This window comes from Homo sapiens, chromosome 7 (genome assembly GCF_000001405.40).
Source record: "Homo sapiens chromosome 7, GRCh38.p14 Primary Assembly".
Taxonomy (NCBI): domain Eukaryota; kingdom Metazoa; phylum Chordata; class Mammalia; order Primates; family Hominidae; genus Homo; species Homo sapiens.
In genome coordinates this window covers 31,836,914-31,856,781 of record NC_000007.14, presented here as the reverse complement: position 1 = coordinate 31,856,781, position 19,868 = coordinate 31,836,914, and the positions used below count along the sequence as shown (strand labels likewise).

The following is a 19,868-nucleotide window of genomic DNA, read 5'->3' as shown; positions in this document are numbered from 1 at the left end:
GGGAGCCAGAATTCGGTCCCAGCTCTGACTTCAGAGGCCATGCATTTAAATATTAGGCATGCTTCTACAATATGCCTTTGGCAAAAAAAAAAAAAAAAAGCCTCTTATATTCTTACACCTCAGTATCCTCATGTGCACTTACTTCCACGTATTGTGATGAGGATGAAAATGGATGCAAAAATGCACTTTGAACTCATCTATTCAACACACCTATTGTGCAGAGTGTACTCTGGGGACATAAAAGTGAATCATGCACAGCTTCTTCAACTCTCACCAAAAACACCCAGCATTTATGCCAATACAAGTTATCATTAACATAAATGTTGTATCATAGCAGTGATCATGATTTACTGCATGCTTTCTTAAATGAGCTCATTTCTCATTTGCCGTTGAATTTCCGTGATCGATTCAGACCATATTTAGAATGATTCTTAAATATAGAAACTATTTCCTACCTACTCTCTCTTTGAAATGCAGCTCAAAACAAACTTCTTTCATTGTGAGCTTACAAAAACAGTGGGGAGCATTCTGATGAATGGAGAACATACTGTTACTCTAACCTTTCATTACAAACCAAGAGGGAGAAAACGCTTTAAATCATTTCAGTGTTATAAATTGTAAGACACGTAGAGAATCAAAACAACCCATTGATAAAGTGGTGTCTGGGCTTCAACATCAACAGTGATACTTTGTAAATGTAAAACATTGTAATCTGTTTGTATTACTCATTATTGTTTAACTTAAGTGCCTAGAAGATACTTGGATCCTTTCAGAATTATTTTGCTCATTTCCAAGAGAAAATCCTTAGACAGAAATAAATTGAAGAGCTATCTATTGATTGAATAGATGTTCATTAGATTCTAAGCTCTAGTGTACTTTTGATTTAGGTGAAAAGATTTCAAACTCCAAAGCTATCCCTTGGCCATTTTCCTTGCTTTTGTCAAGCAAGGTGCCAGTAATTTTCCCTTTGTCTTTTTTTTTTTTTTTTTCCAGAAAGGAGAAGCTGCATATCTTATTTTTATTTATTTTTTATTTATTATTTATTTTTTATTTTTTTATTTTTATTTTTTATTTATTTTATTTTTTATTTTTTTGGTCGTTTATGACATTACCATAATGTCATATTATTAACATATTAATACATAATATCAATGTATTAACAGGAAAGACTAAGGATATCAAAATTACATTTTGTTTGAAGAGTGCCAAATAATTTTATTGGGGTTGTTATTGGTAGACATTTGGCTCCTGCAACCTTTGTTCTCTGGTGTCACATGTGTTTATTAATATGTTACATTGGATTATAAAAGAGATTTTGCAGATGCAATTAAGGCTAACAATCAGAAGAATTTAAATAGGGAGATTAGCCTGGATTTTCCAGGTGGGCCCAATGTAATCACACAAGTTCATCAAAGTCAAGGAGATATGGCCAAAGTCAGAGGTTTGAAGTGTGAGAAGGACCCAACAGTCATTGCCAGCTTGAAGGTGAAGAGGGAAACTGTGGAAAAGGTTAGAAGGAAATGAATTCTGCCAATGCCCTGAATACTCTTGGGAGCAGATTTTCCCCCAGAGCCACCAGAAAGGAAACCTTTCCCAACCTTGATGTCAGCCTTGGGATACCCTGACCAGAGAACCCATCCACACTGGCCTGGGCTTCTGACTGGCAGAACTGCGTGCCAATAAACGGAAGTTTTTTTTTTTTTTTTTTTTTTAGACAGAGGGAGTCTCGCTCTGTCACCCAGGCTGGAGTGCAGTGGTGTGATCTCAGCTCACTGCAACCTCCGCCTCCTGGGTTCAAGTGATTCTCCTGCCTCAGCCTCCTGAGTAGCTGAGATTACAGGCACCCGCCAGCACACCCGGCTGATTTTTGTATTTTCAGTAGAGATGGGGTTTCACAATGTTTGCCAGTCTGGTCTTGAACTCCTGACCTCAGGTGATCCACCCACCTTGGCCTCCCAAAGTGCTGGGATTATAAGCATGAGGCACCTCGCCAGGCCCGGAAGTGTTCTTTAAGCCTCCAAGACTGAGCATTTGTTAAGGTAGCATGGAAAACTAACAGATTACTAAAGAAACTCTATCATTCACATAGAAAAGTCACAACTTGCTTGTAGTATCTCCTCTAACAATGAGAAATTGGCCATGTCCTTTCCCTTCAGGTTTCCTCTGCTCTGTTGTACCCCATGTCTCCTCATCTGCCCCTATATGCGGGAACAAGTGGCTTGCTTTCTTGAGTCATACACAGCAAAACTCAAGGTCCCCAATTACCACTTGTCAAAGCATCCTTTCAAATGAACTAGTTGTGACACTCATATTTTGTAGATAGGAAAATACTGATAGCATCTGTGACTTGTACCTTGCCACCAATTGGTAATTCTGGAATAAAATACCAGTGGGACTTTAATTTCTGACTTCTTATGGGTTGACATAAAACCTTCTGGGTTCACAGTAGTTAATTTGGAAGAGGCAAGGAAATCTGAGGTATATTAAAATAGGAAGTTCAATTTCCTCCAAAATAGCTTCTCCCACTTTCTCTGTTTCTGTTAATGATGCTATCTAATATCACCTGAGGGGTTTATTAGCCACTCAGTGAGGCTAGGAGTGTTGAGGTCATCTAACATATTGTTCTCCTTAACTGCAACCTCATCTGGTCCTCCTACCACTTCCAAAATTCAGATAATTGCTAAGTCATATGGCTTCTACCTCCACACTGTCTGTACATCCTATATGAACTTTTCAATCTAAAAATACAGCTTTTAGCCAGGCACAGTTGCTCACGCCTATAATCCCAGAATTTTGGGAGGCCCAGATTGGTGGATTGCTTGAGCTCAGAAGTTAGAGACCAGCCTGGGCGACATGGTGAGACTCCCATCTCTACTAAAAATACAAAAAAAAAAAAAAAAAAATAGCTGGGCATGGCAGTGGGTGCCTATGGTCCCAGCCCTTACTTGGGAGGCTGAGGTGGGAGGTTTGCTTGAGCCCTGGGGGCAGAGGTTGCAGTGAGCCAAGATTGCACCACTATACTCCAGCCCGGACAACAGAGTGAGACCCTGTTTAAAAAAAAACAAAAACAAAAACAAAACGAAAACAAAAAAACCCTGCTTTTTATCTCCCTTCTCTCCTCCTGTCCAAATATCCTTCCTGAAGTGGGGAGCTGATGGCATGACTCTCTTGCGTGTGAACTTCACTGCCTGCTGAATCTGGTTTACATTCCTCGCTCACTGTGTTTTCTAATGCCTGACCTCATAGGGCCTCAATCAGCCTTCTCTCCCGCTCCAGTCAAGGGCATCATTTTCTTACCTGAGGTGGACATGCTTTTGCTGCTGGGACTTGCTCATTTAGTTCATTCTTCTGAAAATGCCCACCTTCATTTCTTTCTCTGTCAAATTTTCAAGGCCCATCTTAAACATCTCTCCTCTGTGAAGCTGTTTCTCCCAGATACTACTTTTCTTTCTTCTTATCCCCAAAGCAGCATAACTGATTCTAAGCATGCATGGCGTTTGTTGAAAAACTAAGGTGGTAAAATGAGTTTTAAAGACAATGGTTTTGTTTTTTATTGTTGTTGTTGTTGAATGCCTGTTTAACCATTCATTGTTTTTGGTTTAATAGAAGTAGGTTATATCTAAGATAGGATTTTGTTCAATTATTTGGGTAAGGAGGGAAGCATCACTATGGTTGTAATGTGAGAACTGTAATTATACTGTTATTTAGATGCTTTCTGCTGCCTGGGCTGATGTTCTGTGACTAGGATTCGTTGAGATGTTACACTGTCTCCCATTCATAATCTTATTTTAAAAAGTGAAATTAACTTTACGTGACCTTAGAATAAGAGATATATGTGGGAGAGGAGGTAGAGGGAACCAGGGACAGATGGGTGGGGACAAAATATTGGGGAAGAAAAGAAAGACAATGCCAAAATGGAAAAAAAACTGCATATGTAATATATGTATGGATAATATCAAGAAAAATGTGCAATATAAATTTATGCCTATATAATTTTATGCAAAATTGAATAAACACATGAACAATGATCCAAAGAAAATACAATGTAAGATTATGAGTGAGAATTCTGCAGGCGTGGTGTGTGGCTTGTCAGATGACTGGCTGTGTGACCTTGAGTGAGTCCTGCACCTACCCCTGGCTTGTTTCCTTATCTGTCAAGTGGGGATAGCAACAGTACCTATGATTACAGAGCTGTGAGAGTTATATAAGTTTCTATATAAAAGCACCTAGCATAGTGCCTGCCACATGGGGGGCCCCCCGAGACAATGAAGAGGCTGATGAGGAGGCTCTTTGCTGCCTTTACAAGGGGTTTTGCAGCTTTGATTTTTCTTGCAATCTTTCCTTATCTTGCCCATCTTTTTTTCATCTCATTTTGTTGATTTTCATCTTAGTCTGTTTTCTCTTTGACTTTCTGTTCCGTGTACCTCAATTTGTGTTTTTGAGGTATATTATTGAAGATGCCAGAAAGCTTCCTGACATTTCATGCTGGATTCTGTTAGGAATCATTTTCAAAAGTATAGTGGTTTATTTTTTCATGAGTTATGTTTATGCTCACTCTGAAGTATTTTTCATAAGTTCTATGTCATTTGTTTATTTTCCCCTTACCAATTTTTAAAGAAGGCAATAATTCTCCAAAATTAGTAGTTAATTGAAAGATATGGCTTAAGTGGGAAATTAGAAACACTTAAATGTTCATTTTAACTCATTTTGCGTTAACTTAAATCATATGAATCTATTTTATGCACTGATCTTTAATTCAGACCACAGGGCTTTTATGAGTTCACCAGTTTGGATACTCACATTTGTCTTACATCAACCCTGCCCCTATCTAAGATTTCTAGTCTCATCTCTTTAAAGTTAAGTGGGAACTTAAAGATGTGCATGAAGCAAACTGAGTGCAGAAGCTCTCTAACTTTTCTATAAATGTGTTCTGCTCTTTCACAGTTGTCACACATATTTTGATAGCAGTTCTTTTAGTGACTGTCCAAAGCATTAAACTTAGGTTCTACAGAAATAACAACTCCAATTTTGTGTCCATATTTTATTGGTTTGTGTCATATTTAATTACATAATTATAATAACAAATACAATTTATTAAAATGTGGTTTAGAATAAATCATACTGAATCATGTAGGCATGAATTTAACTAGTAGCAAAAGTGAGCAAAGGATATGAGAAGGTGGCCTGAGTCAGGCATATTCTGTCGTGTGAGCATGGGGCAGGATGGTTTACAGAAGCGATAGGAAGTAAATCCACAGAGTCCGTTAAATGGAAGTCAGTTAAGGAAGCTTGAAACACAGCAGTAGTTTTCAAACTCTAGTGTGCATCAGAACTATCTAGATGGCTTGGTAAAGCACAGATTGCTGGGCCACAACCTAGCGTTTCTGATCCAGTGAGATTGGGGTGGGGCTGAAGAATTTGCCAGCATTTCTAACAAGCTCCCAGCTGACACCATCTGCATGTCCAAGGAACACATTTTGTGAACCACTGACCCACAGCCAATGTTGATGGTGTGGATGGGGAGAAGTCCTTTCAAACATCATCAGCATGCATAGAGCAGAAAGCCAGTATTTTTCCATCTGTCTCTACCCACTTCCTAGTGGATATCCTCCTATAATCAGACGTTAGGTTTTCTATTACTCTTCATTCTTGGTATTGCATTCAAATTTCTAATTTTTTTATGTGTGTGTGTGTGTGTGTGTGTGTGTGTGTGTGTGTGTCTACCTAGGAACTTTATTTGGAAGTTGGGGGAGGATGCAATGAGGGCTTTTCAAGTCTTCATGTTCATTCTCTTTGATTTCTTGAAAAAGATAAAACTACTACTTAGCTTATTCAACCTTGCTGAACACATTGTTAACAAATCACAAGTCTCCAAGTCTCTTCACAGGAAAATAACTTATTTCTGTCTCTCAGAAAACTTGTGTTTGGCAATAGCTTACCAGCTGCAGGGTAGAAAGGCAGCACTGTGGGTGTGTTGTCAGCAAGCTGAAGACTTTGAGAAAGAAACAGATTATCTGATTGCTCTGTAATCTCCTTTCAGAACTGGCTGACGGAGCTGGAGATCTTTGCTATAATCTTCTCAGCTGCCATCCATGACTACGAGCATACCGGAACCACCAACAATTTCCACATTCAGACTCGGTGAGGGTGTTTAAATGTTTGGAAGAGAGGCAAGAGGGGTCAGAGAGACAGTTTTAGAAATCAGAAAGGTGTTAGTCACCTTTCTTTTGCATAGGTTTCCTATTTTGAATTTCTGAAACAATGAACCTCTAAATGAGAGATCAGTCTGATCAGCTTCAATCAAGACTTAGAGTTTAAGAAGCCATCTGCTCCTAATTCTCCTATTTTGTTCAGATCTCATATAGATATCTTTTTCTTCTCTATTCTAATGTTCGCTATTTGTTTATGTATGTTCTGTACATACTTGACCTACTTCTAACAGGAAATGGGGCAGTTTACGTAAAGGCCCAGATGACACATAAAGGAAAAGAATAAGGACAGTGAGGATTAGAGTGTTTTTGTTGACATTAACAACATTGACCAATCTTACCCTCTGATCTCTGAGATTCTGATGAGATCTCTTCTCATCCTCTCTGATTTCGTATCTGCTCTGTTTAGTGCTTGCACCACTCCCTGGCACAGGGCCCCGGGAGTAAGTTTGTCTCCTGTAGGCTACTTTCACCGTGAGCAACCTGTGCATCCTTCCTAATGGACTGCACAGGTAATCACAAACCTCCCGTCGGAGACATTAAATATGGGTCCAAGTGCCCCACTCGGAACCTCCTGACCTGTAACAGATACTGTTAGTTGATTTTGGTACTTTTTCTTACTAAACTGTGGGTTTATTCTGAGTATTCCTCTCAGCACAGAATTCCAGGCAATAGCACCAGTCAATTGTCATTTCTACTTAGGATAAAACTTTCCTTGCCCTCTCCTAGCCTAAGAACTTGCCCTCTCTTAAGACAATGATGTGGAACTGGAGAGAGTCTGACAGTAGAGTTAGTTCATTATCCTTGACATAGTAATCAAAAGGAGCTAGGGTATGGGGAAAGGTGGTAAGTCAAAGAGAAAGAATGTAGCAGGGAGGGATGAGAGTTTAACACCAAATAAATACTTGCTGATTTCACTTGAAAAAGCAGGTGCACACTCTAGATAGGTTTGTGTTCATTAAATCAATCTACATGTATTTAATGAACTCAACACTTGATTACAGTATACACAAAAGAAGACAATATTGTCTGATCTCTGTTCAGAAGGAGAATTTTAATTGAATGGAAGCAGACAAAAGAACTTCAGCTACTTGCTTCAGTTCCACCTTCTTGCCTCCTCACTTAGTCTCAGCCACAGAAAAGCAGCTTTTTGTGGTTGTGTTCCAAGGGAACAGAATTCCCTTTAATACAGGGAATTCCATAGAGTAGCACTGTTTAATGTATGTCTGTGGGTGGAACCTTTGCTCTGAGGACAGAGACCATGGTGAATATCACCTGCCCAAGGAAGAGAGGTGGGTTGAACATATGTGGGTCTTGCCTGGAGACGAGGATCAAAACCAGTCCCAACACAGAGGAGAATGGCTTTATTACAGGAGGTGGAAAAGTGTCACGAAATATACATCAGTTGGTATCTAACTTACTCAACAGATGTAACAGCAGATCTTTCACCTCGGGATTTGAATGTTCTGCGTTATCTCCATAGGAGTGGGAAAATTCCAATGTGTTCAGTTAAGCTTGGTTTGGAATGAAATTTAAACATTGGCCCTGTTCAACAGAACTTTATCCAAAGCCTCTCAGCCTGTGTGATCCCTGTTCAGAAAACAAAGTCTGTGACCAGGCCCTTAATCCTTTGATGAATAAAATTTTAAGCCTAACAGTTTCAAGGTATGATAGATACAGCCCAAAGTTTGGCCAATGGCAGGTGGAAGTTATCTTGGGGAAGCACTGGCCCAACTGTCAGAAGATCTTGCCTTCATCCCAGCCCTGCCACTTGGCCACCAAAGGGCTCTAACAAGTTTTTTTAAGTCTCTGAAACTCAGCTTCCTTGGTGAGAAACAAATAATCTAAGCTTTCATTAAATTTAAGATCTTAAAATATTATACAGTCGTGTGTTTAGTGACATTCAGCTATAGTATGGTCTTTGAGATAGGAACTAAAAACTGACATTATAATCTTTATATTCTTTATTCTCAATTTTCCACATGTGGCTTTTGCATGGAAAAATGTTGAGATCAAGCCACTATCAGAGGCAGCTTACAGATAGTACCCACCAGGTGATATGTGTTCTGAAAATTACAACTAAAATAAATAAACCAGTGCATTCATTGAATAAAATAAAAATAAAAATAAATGTCATTCCAGAAAATATAAAGAAGTTTGACATGACCCATATTTTTAAAAAAACACCTTTGCAACTAATATAGGTAATTGAGATCTGGTTGTAAAACAGTTTTGAGAGAGTTCTCAGGCTGGATGTCACATATTTCCTGCCCACACATGTACTGATATAACATACCCTACATTCATCTATTGATGATTTGTAGTGTTAGTTGAGCTTTTGGTTCATATAACTGGCATGGGGACAAAGATAATTTCTAAACATGGAAAAAAGTGGTGGTGCGTTCTAGCCTGTTAGAATTACCCAAGTAAATCACAACTGTTTAACATTCTGAATTTTGCTTGGCTTTCTGTTCAGGTCTGATCCAGCTATTCTGTATAATGACAGATCTGTACTGGAGAATCACCATTTAAGTGCAGCTTATCGCCTTCTGCAAGATGACGAGGAAATGAATATTTTGATTAACCTCTCAAAGGATGACTGGAGGTAAGGATGAGAAAAGAGAGAGATTTGTAGGCCAGGGAAGGAACTTTGAAGTTGGATGAAGTATGCTGTTTTTGAGAAAAGAACACCTTGCTTAAAATGTTGATTCGTGTTGCTTTCTCTCTCTTTCTTTCTCTCACTCTCACCCTCTCTTTGTGTATGTATGTATGTCTTATTTCTCTTTTTTCTTTATACAGATATTCAAATATTTATAAATAAAGGCTATGGAATGTTATGATTAAGTTCCAACTACTTTATTTTGCCATCTTTACATTGCTTTTTATTGATGAATTGGGAAGTGAAACCAGTTTGAGTCAAATAATTCAATATTGTCCTAAAAATTCTCAAAGAAGAAAGTTTGAAAAATCACTTCTAACAGTGTTCAACTGAGGACACTTTGGATATATTTGCTTTTTTTTTTAACCTTAGGAAACTTGTGTTGCTTTTATCTGAATTCCTTAAATCTGAATTTTATCTTTTATTTAATAACATGTGTTTTTCACCCTATATTTGATTTGGACTTCTTATCAATCTTTTGACATTTTCTAAGGAAATTATTGGACACTTAAAAAAATTATGTACACTTAATTCTGTTGCATGAATGACAGAAATTGTGTGTTTGGATTTAGGCACATACCTGTGTTTTGAATATGGACTCAGTCACTTACTAGCTGTATGACATTCGGGAAGTGACTCAATATCTTTACATCTTTAAAATTTTAATTTCTTGAAAATAGATAGTAACATTTATTCTGCAGTTGGGATAGATTATGATAAATGACATAATCATTTTAAAATGCTTAGCACACTTTGTCTCATATATAGCAAGCCAATAAATCATCGTAGCTATAAATATAGGTTAAGGTACTTCAAACCCTGCAGGCAGAGATCATCTAAATCCTTACAAAACTCTGAATCCGTTGTGACTCAAATAGTCCTCATATTTTAATTAAATAATCAGCTGTTTATTGGGTATTTGTGTGCTCACCATCTTTCAAGGATTTAGAGAAATGAACTTTACTGAACAATCTGAGAGGCTGATTTTTATTAAGAGTGGCTAAGAGTTTCCATGTAGCTTTAGTTTATTAAAACATATGGGAATATTTGACTTAAATTTTATTGGAATATGCTAGACTCAGCCAGCATCTGAAAAATGCAGAGCAATTCAATTAATCATTGCACCACTTCAGGAAAAAAGGAACCCTCTATCCAATTTTACTATTGGTAAAAGTTATAATAAAAGGTTTGATTACAAAAATTTTCCCCCATTATGTAGGTTGCCCATTCACTCTGATGATAGTTTCTTTTGCTGTGCAGGAGCTCTTTAGTTTAATTACATCCCATTTGTCAATTCTGGCTGTTGTTGCCATTGCTTTTGGTGTTTTAGTCAAGAAGTCTTTGCCCATACCTATATCCTGAATGCTATTGCCTAGGTTTTCTTCTAGGGTTTTTATGGTTTTAGGTCTTACTTTAAGTCTTTAATCCATCTTGAGTTAATTTTTGTATAAGGTATAAGGAAGGGGTCCAGTTTCAGTTTTTTGCATATGGCTAGCCAGTTTTCCCAACACCATTTATTATATAGGGAATCCTTTCCCCATAGCTTGTTTTTGTCAGGCTTTTCAAAGATCAGATGGTTGTATATGTGTGCTATTATTTCTGAGGCCTCTGTTCTATTCCATTGGACAGAACAGAGCCTGGGTGACAGAGCGAGACTCCGTCTCAAAAAAAAAAAAAAAAGAAAAAAAAAGAAAAGTAAAAGTATGTATAACAGAAGTAGCATACGTATGTTTGGAAAATATGTTAAGAGGCAATTATGCAAGCTTTAGAACACTTTACTAGATTGTCAGGAAGCCAGGATTATACACGATCTAAATATCTAAATAAGCCCTCACACAAATCCTTCAAAACCATGATGTATCTGAATATGTGTGAAGCTGTTCTCTGCCATATTCAAACCTTTTATTATTATTATTATTTTGAGACAGAGTCTCACTCTGTCACCTAGACTGGAGTGCAGTGGCATGATCTTGGCTCACTGCAACCTTCGCTTCCCAAATTCAAGCGATTCTCCTGCCTCAGTCTCACAAGTAGCTGGGACTACAGGCATGCACTACCAGGCCCAGCTAATTTTTTTGTATTTTTAATAGAGACAGTGTTTCACCATTTTGGTCAGGCTGGTCTCGAACTCCTTACCTCAAATGACCCACTAGCCTTGGCCTCCCAAAGTGCTGGGATTACAGGCATGAGCCACTGTGCCTGGCCACCTTTTATTATTTTTTTCAAACCTTTTTAAAAATTTTTTTTATTATATTTTAAGTTCTGGGATACGTGTGCAGAAAGTGCAGGTTTATACATGTGCCATGGTGGTTTGCTGCACCCATCAACCCATCGTCTACATTAGGTATTTCTCCTAATGCTATGCCTTCCCTAGCCCCTGACCCCCTGACAAGCCCCAGTGTGTGATGTTTCCCTCCTTGTGTCCAGTGATATCTGATGTATTGCTTACTGAACCTATACAGAGTTTGTATTTTGAGTATAAACAAGTTAATTGCCTGCTAAAACAAAACATCAACAATCTTCAGAGCAATATAACAGAACCCAGATTCCCTACAACTTATATCCATAATGTTCAGGATACAATCTAAGTGACATATAAAGATCAGGAAAATGTGATTTCTTAGTAAGGGAAAAGACAATCAATAGATACACACTCTAGGATAAGCCATTGTTAGAATTATCAGATGAGGACTTTGGACTTTTAAAACAACTATTATTTCTATGCTCAGTGAGGTAATGAAAAATGTGCTTGTGTATAAAATTATTTTCAGGTAATAGAAAACAACAGGAGTGTGTCACTAATGGAGCTGTGTTATAAGGGATGCTAAAGAAATTTCTTTAGAACTTTCTTTAAGGTAGTTTCAAAAATATTATTTTGTTATAAGGTTTATGAGTAAAATGAAAACATAAATTAAAAACAAAGTTTAGAACTGAAAAATAAAATGTCTACATTTAGAATTTGCTACATAGGCTTAGTGCATGATAGAGAAGACAGAAGAAGGAAACAGTGACTTTTAAAAATTCATTTTTCAGGTTTCAAAGTTGGAAATTATTTGATTTGAAAAAGTAAGAGGAAAAAGCTGTTTTAAATGAGTAGAAGTTAGGGACATGTGGGATAATTTTATATGAGCCAACATAAGGGCAATTTGAGTCTCAGAAGGAGAGAAAAGAGAGAGAATGGGAAAGAAAAAGAATTTGAAGAAATAATGACTGAACAGTTTCCAAATATTGCCAAACATATAAATATACAGATTCAAGAAACTCAGCAAACCTAAAACAGGTTAAATTCGATGAAAAGAACACTGAGGCACATATTATAGTCAAACTGCTGAGAGGCAAAGATAAAATAAAGAAAAATGACAAATTACACTTAGGAGAACAAGTTGAATCACAGTAGACTATTCATCAGAAACTATAGAGGCCAGAAAACAATAGAATAATTTATTTAAAGTGCTAAAAAGAAAACAAAAAGCCAACACAGGATGCTACATCCTGTGAACATGAACTTCAAGAATGAAGATGAAATAAAATTATTTTCAGATAATAGAAAACAACAGGAATGTGTCACTAATGGAGCTGCGTTACAAGGGATGCTAAAGAAATTTCTTTAGAGCTTTCTTTAAGGTAGTTTCAAAAATATTATTTTGTTATTTTATATTTTATTAATTTTTAGATTAATAAATCTAAATATTTATTGGAAGGAAAATGATATGATAGTGAAATCAGACTTTTAGAAAAGAATAAACTGATAAATATCTGGGTAAATGTAAAATACCATTTTTCTTCACTTATTTAAATTGTGCATTTGACCATTTGAAGCAAAAATTACAACACCATCTCATGAGGTTTGTATGTAGAGAGGTGTAATACATGTGACAATGATAACATAAAGACCAGTTAATGTTAGTAAATGGACCTATACTGTTGCAGGATTTTTAAATGTTACATAAAGTTATACAGTAGACAGAAAATTAAAGATGTATGTTGTAATCCCCAAGCAACCACTAAAAAGATTAACCATAATAGCTAAAGATTGTTAAAGTTTACCTATTTATCAAAAGATAAATTTAAATTGACCATTTAGCAGTAGATAAATTAAAATTGATTTAAAAAATAAATAATACAAAAAATATCTCAAGCAGAAAAGTTAATGCAAAGGGAAAAAAGCAAAGGTGATAATTAGAAAACAAATAATAACATGCTAGACCCAAATGCAACTATATTAATAATTACATTAAATGTTAAAGGACTAAACATTCTACTTAAAAGGAAAAGGTTATTAGAATTGATAAAAAGGCAAGCTCCAACTGCAATTGTACAAGAGATACACTTTAAATATAAATACACAAAAAGGTTCAAAGTAAAAGTATGTAAGATGTACCAAACAGTAAGAATAAGTAGAATGCAGTGGTGTTATTAATATTAGCTAAAATGAACTGCAAGAAAAAGGATATTGTGAAAGAGAAAGGAGATTTTCTGATAATAAGAGTGTCATCAGAAAGATACATCAGTCATAAATAACTATTAGGTAACTGTAGACTTCCAAAACATAAAATGTAAAAATTGATAGGAGAAAAAGGAGAAATATATATTTTCACAATCATAGGAGGTTTTAAGATTCTTGCGTCAGCAGTTGATAGACAAACTGGACAAAAATATCACTAAGGACCTAAGAGGATTTGAACAACATCAGCCACTTTGCCTTAATTAATATTTATAGAACACCATGCAACAACTGCAATATACATATTCTTTTCAAGTACACATGCTGAGACATTTTAAAATAAGTTTTAATAATTTTAAAATATCATAAGCTTAAAGAGTATGTTCTTTGACCTTAATGGATTTAAATTAGAGATCAATAAGATATCTAGGAAAATCCTGTATATTTGAAAATTAAACAACATTCTTCTAAATCATTTGTGGATCAAAAAGTAATCAGAGGAAAGTAGGAAACATTTCAAATTTATCAAGAATGAAAATGCAATATATTAAAAATGTGTGCAATACTATTAAAACAGTGCCTAGAGGAAATTTACAGCTATAAATGTTCATAGTAGGAAAGAAAAAAGTTCCAAACACAATGACTTCAGGAAGCTAGACCAAAACAGTAATGTAAATTCAAAGTAGATAGAAGAAATTAGTAATGATAAGAGGAAAAATCAATAAAATAGAAAAAATAAAAAGAAAAAATTAAGAAAGCTCAAGCTGTTATTTGAAAAGAGCAACATGATTGACAACCTTCTACCTAGACTGGTCAATAAAAAGGAGAGAACACAAAGTACCAACAGTATATCCTATACATATGAAATACATAAGAAAATGTTACAAACAACTTTATCTCAATAAATTTGACAACTTTGATGAAGTGGATAAATTCCTTGCAAAATACAACTTACCAAAATTCACACAAGATGAAACAGAAAGTCTGAACAATCCTATGTCTGTTAAAAAATTGACTTTGTCATCAAAAATATTCCCACAAAGAAATATCCAGCCTTGGATAGTTTAACTGGTGAATTCTATCAATATGTAAAGAACAGATAATACCAATCTTATGCAAATGTATTTAGAGAAGGAAGAAATACTGTGCAATTTGTTTTATAAGACATAATTTTGATACCACACTCTGGAAAAAAATTCATAAAAAGGAATGTTAAAGACTAATGTATTTTATGAACATAGCTATAACAATTCTCAGTAAAATATTAACTAATTAAATGTAACAATATACTAAAAAGGTAATATATCATGTGTGATAGTTAATTTTATGTATCAACTCGCCTGGGCCTCAGTGTGTGCTGATATTTGGTCAAGCATTATTCTGTTGTTTCTGTGAGGGTGTTTTTGGATGAGATTAACATATAAGAGGGTAGACTGAGTAAAGCAGATTGCCCTTCCTAACATGAGTTGACCTCATTCAACCAGTTGAAGGCCTAACTAGAACAAAAAGGCTGACCACCTCCCAAGTAAGAGAGAATTCTTTTTGCCTGTCTTTGAACTAAAACAATGGCTCCTCCTGGGTCTTGAGCTGTCAGCCTTCAAGTTGGAAGTACAATATTGGGTGTCCTGGATCTCCACTTGCTGATTTACCCTGCAGATCTTGGGACTTGTCAGCCTTCATAATTATGTGAGCCACTTCCTCATAATAAATCTCTTTCTATCCTATTGGTTTCTCTGGAGAATCCTGACTCATATATTGGGCTTATCCAAGGAATGCAAGATTAATTCAGCATTCAAAAATTAATTAAAAGAATTCCCCATATTTAAAAACAAACAGAAAATCATACAGTCATCTTAATAGATATATAACAAGCATTTGACAAAATTCAACACATTCATCATAAAAACTCTCAGCAAGCCAGAAACAGAAGGGAGCTTCCTCAACTGGATAAAGTGCATGTGTGAAAAACCTATAACTAACATCAAGCTTAATGGTGAAATATTGAATGTTTTTTCCTTAAGACTGGGAGTAAGACAAAGATGCTTGATCTTACATTCATCAACATTGTTAAGATGTTAATAGCAAATGACATGATTGCCTAAGTAGAAAATCCTAAGGATCTGTAAAGGAGCTACTGGAACCGATAATGAATTTTGCAAGGTCACAGAATACAAGGTTAATGTAAAAAACATTATATATACACATATGCATATATGCACATATACATATATATATATATATAGAGAGAGAGAGAGAGAGACAGAGAGAGGGAGAGAGACACTAGCAGCAAACCATTGGAAAATAAAATAATTTTTTACAATAGCACATAACATATAAAATACTTAGTAGTAGCTTTCAAAAACAAATGCAGCTCATGTTCACTAAAGATTATGTAGTATTGCTGATTATAGAGGAACTAAATACATAGAGAGATATACTGTCATCATGTAGTGGAACACTCGGTATTATAAAGATGTCAAATCTTCCAAAATTTATTTATTGTTTCAATACAATTCCAATCAAAATTCCAGCAGAATTATGTTGGAAATTGCCATGATTATTATAAACTTTATATAGAAATGCCAAATAATACTTTTTAAATGAAGAACAAGGTTAGAGGACTCATATTTCTTGATTCCAAGCATGCTTAAGTTACAGTATTCAAGGCAGCATTTCACTGGTGAAAGATGGACATACGTAACTATGGGACAGAATTGAGAGTTTTGAAATTGACTCATCAATTGATTTATGATGCCAAATTAATTCAATGGGGAAAAGAAAATATTTTCAACAAATGGTTTTGGAACAATGGGAAAAGATAACTTTGACCCTTATCACATACCATACTCAAAAAATAGCTCAAAATTGGTTATAAACCTAAACGTAAAAGCTAAAATGGCAAGACTTCCAGAGGAAAATACTGAAGTCCTTGGAAGTAGGTGGCGGTTTCTCAGATAGGAGAGAAAAAGCATGAAGCATTTTTTTAATGATAAATTGAACTTTATAAAAATTAAACCTTTTGCTCTTTGGAAGACACCGTTAAAAAAAAGCAGGCCAAGACATTGGAGAAATTATTCACAACACTTATGTTTTACATAGGTTTTGAATCCAAAATGTGTAAGGTACTTTTATAACTCAATAATAAGTAAACAATTCAATTTTAAAATGAGAAAGGTTTGAAACAGACATTTCCCTAAAAAATGTATACAAATGGAATATAAGTACATGAAAATGTGCCTGACATAGTCAACAAAGAAATGTAAATTAAAACCAAGATGAGATAACACTACATATCCATCAGAAGAATGGCTGAAATTAAAGACTCATTAGAGGAGGCAAAGAAAAACTGAAAATGTTATATGCTAGTGGTCAAATGTAAAGTGATACAACCACTTTCACAAATATTTGGCAGTTTCTTTTTTCTTTTTTAATTGAGATGCAGTCTCTCTCTGTCACCCAGGCTAGAGTGCAGTGGCATGATATCACCTCATTGCAACTTCCACCTCCTAGGTTCAAGCAATTCTCCTGTCTCAGCCTCCTAAGTAGCTGGGACTACAGGCGCATGCCACAACACCCAGCTAATTTTTGTATTTTTAGTAGAGACGGGGTTTCACCATATTGGTCAGGCTAGTCTCGAACTCCTGACCTCAGGTGATCCACCTGCCTCAGCCTCCCAAAGTGTTGGGATTACAGGCATGAGCCACTATGCCCGGCTGGCAGTTTCTTATAAACACTCAGCTGTCTTATAAACCAGCCATTCTGCTTCTAGGTATTCACCCCAGATAAATGAAAACATATGTGTCTACACAAAGATTTATGTATGAATACCCATAGTAGCTTTATTCACAATAGTTCCAAACTAGAATCTAATAACTTGAATGTCCGTTAGCTAGTAAATGGATAACAAACTGTGGTATGCTCATATGATAGAATACCACTCAGCAATAAGAGAAAATGAACTATTGATGAACCACTATATAGATGAATTGTAAATCATTATGCTGAGTAAAGAAAGAGTACATTTTGTATTATATATGTGTGTGTGTGTGTGTCTATGTATATACATGGAAACACGTGTGTATATATCTAGTATCTGTGTTAATATATAATGCGTATGTATGTGTGTATAATATGTATTATCTATTATATTTTAAAATAATATGTGTGTATATTTTCAATGTGTGACTATTTTAAAATAATGTGTGTATATATGTATGTATATATACACACATACATACATATACGTATGTATACACACATATACGTATGTATGTATGTATACATACGTATATGTATGTGTGTATACATACATATATACATAATCTATATATACATATATACACACATATTTAATATATAATACATATATGTGTATCTATGTATGTCTACATGTATGTATATAATAAATATGTATATATGTATGAAATATATGTGTATATAATATATAAATATTGAAATCTATAATATATATTAAATATTTGAAATATATACTAAATATATATGTGTATACTTTATGTACACATGTATAAAACTAGAAAATTCAAACTATTTTAGATAGACATAAGCCAGATCAAACTTTGCCTGGGGCTAGGTTTGAGGATGATGGAAGTATTTGGTATCATGATTACAGTGGTATTTTCAAAAACTTACTCAACTGTTAAACTCATTACATTCTGCAATTTATGTAAATTGTAAGCAGTTTATTCTATGTAAATTATACCTCAATAAAGTCGTTAGAGGCAGTAAAAAGATCAGTGATTGGCAGGGGTTGAGGGAAAAAAGAGAGGGGTGAATCGAAGGAGCACAGGGGATTTTAGGGTGCTGAATCTATTCTGTATGGATATTGTGATGGTGGATACATGGCATTATGCATTTGTCAAAACTGGTAGAACTGTACAGCATGCCCAGTGAACCTTAATGTAAACTATGGACTGTAGTTAACATAATGTATCAATATTGATTCACTAGTTGTAACAAATGCACCACATTAACACAAGACTTTAAAAATAAGAAAACTGTGCTGGAAGTGAGGTAACATGAGAACTAGCTATACTATAAGCTCAATTTTTCTGTCAACCTAAAACTCTATTAAAAATCAAGCTATTTTTAAAAAGATGGAATACCTGTATCCAATGTGAAATACGGATGATTAATTTACCTCCAAGGATTATTTTCAAGTTAATTCTTTCTTAAAACTCTGAATTCATTTGGAGAAAAGAGCATTTTAATACAATTTTCAGTTTCATTGAATTTTTTCCTGTGAGTTAATTTTCCAAATGATATGTGTATTCCATGTATCATATTCCTAATAAATGATTTTCTTAATACTTAGCTTTCATTTATTCCTTATTTGAAAAGCTCACCTTAAAGACCCAAATTAGATTAGAAATGTCAGAAATCGTTGACTGATTTTCATTAGCAGTGGCAAAAAAAAAACACTGATTTTTACTTTCCATTTTTGACTTCCATCCTTTTTTCTCCATGGTTGTCTCTAAAAGGGAGTTTCGAACCTTGGTAATTGAAATGGTGATGGCCACAGATATGTCTTGTCACTTCCAACAAATCAAAGCAATGAAGACTGCTCTGCAGCAGCCAGAAGCGTAAGTGTGCTTGTGGCTTGTGTTTTTGTTTGTATAGGTGTTTGAATGGGTCCTCGTCTATGTGGCTATCCCTTTAAAGAGCATCTCCTTTAACACAACTTTATAGAGTGTTCTTATGCAATGATTATGTTTGAAGGAGAAAGCATAAAAGTTGTACCTACCACAATAAGGTATGTTCTCATCAGGGTTGAAAGAAATAATAGAGGCAGCATCAGTTGTCCCCAGTGAGAATTAAAAATAATTCCCTGTGGGAAACTAAATTATCAGAGATCCCCAATGCAGAAGCAACCAATAAAAGTCAGTGACTCTTGGATTCTTGCTCTCTTTTTGAAGGATGCAGTCATTCCAGAAATGGATTTGAGTCCAGAGAGTCCAATTCCGTAAATATGGAGACCAAGTTAATGAGTATCCCAGTTGTAGGATGAAATGATGTCTTTTCCTCAATTTAGCTGAAGTGGGGTTTGAGATGGAAGAACAAAAGAGATTAAAAACTTAATGATTTTTAAAAAACTCTTACTGAGGTTCTGAAGAGTGTGGTTATCATGTGTTTGGGTGCTTTTGGTTTACAGCATTGAAAAGCCAAAAGCCTTATCCCTTATGCTGCATACAGCAGATATTAGCCATCCAGCAAAAGCATGGGACCTCCATCATCGCTGGACAATGTCACTCCTGGAGGAGTTCTTCAGACAGGTACCTTGTTGCTCTCTCTCCATCAGGACTGTCATCATTGGATATTTTATGAATTTTATATCTCAGCAATGCTAGGATAAGGACTATTGAGATTACAGTAATTTTGGAGAGGGGAGGGGGGCTCCACAGATTATTTTGCCTCTTGGTCATGTGATATTTGAATCTTACCTAAATACTGCTTTTTAGGACATTATGGTATTTTTATCCTATGCATTTCTGTTTGGGGGAAAAAAAGTATTTCCTTGTAGCAGTCTTTTGTCAAAATG

At 35.3% G+C, this 19,868-nt stretch overlaps 1 protein-coding gene across 27 annotated transcripts in view; it reads left to right on the top strand.

Annotated features, from left to right (window-relative positions):
- PDE1C (phosphodiesterase 1C) overlaps positions 1 to 19,868 on the top strand; it is an 811,448-nt gene that overhangs the window by 571,443 nt on the left and 220,137 nt on the right. For all 27 annotated transcript variants that reach the window (XR_001744802.1, XR_001744803.1, XR_007060044.1 and 24 more), the window contains 4 exon segments: positions 6,041 to 6,141; positions 8,686 to 8,814; positions 18,811 to 18,912; positions 19,482 to 19,602. Coding sequence is in view for 21 of the 27 variants with exons in the window: in XM_047420443.1 (XP_047276399.1) it covers positions 6,041 to 6,141; positions 8,686 to 8,814; positions 18,811 to 18,912; positions 19,482 to 19,602 (453 nt within the window). In the remaining 6 variants the exon portion in view is untranslated.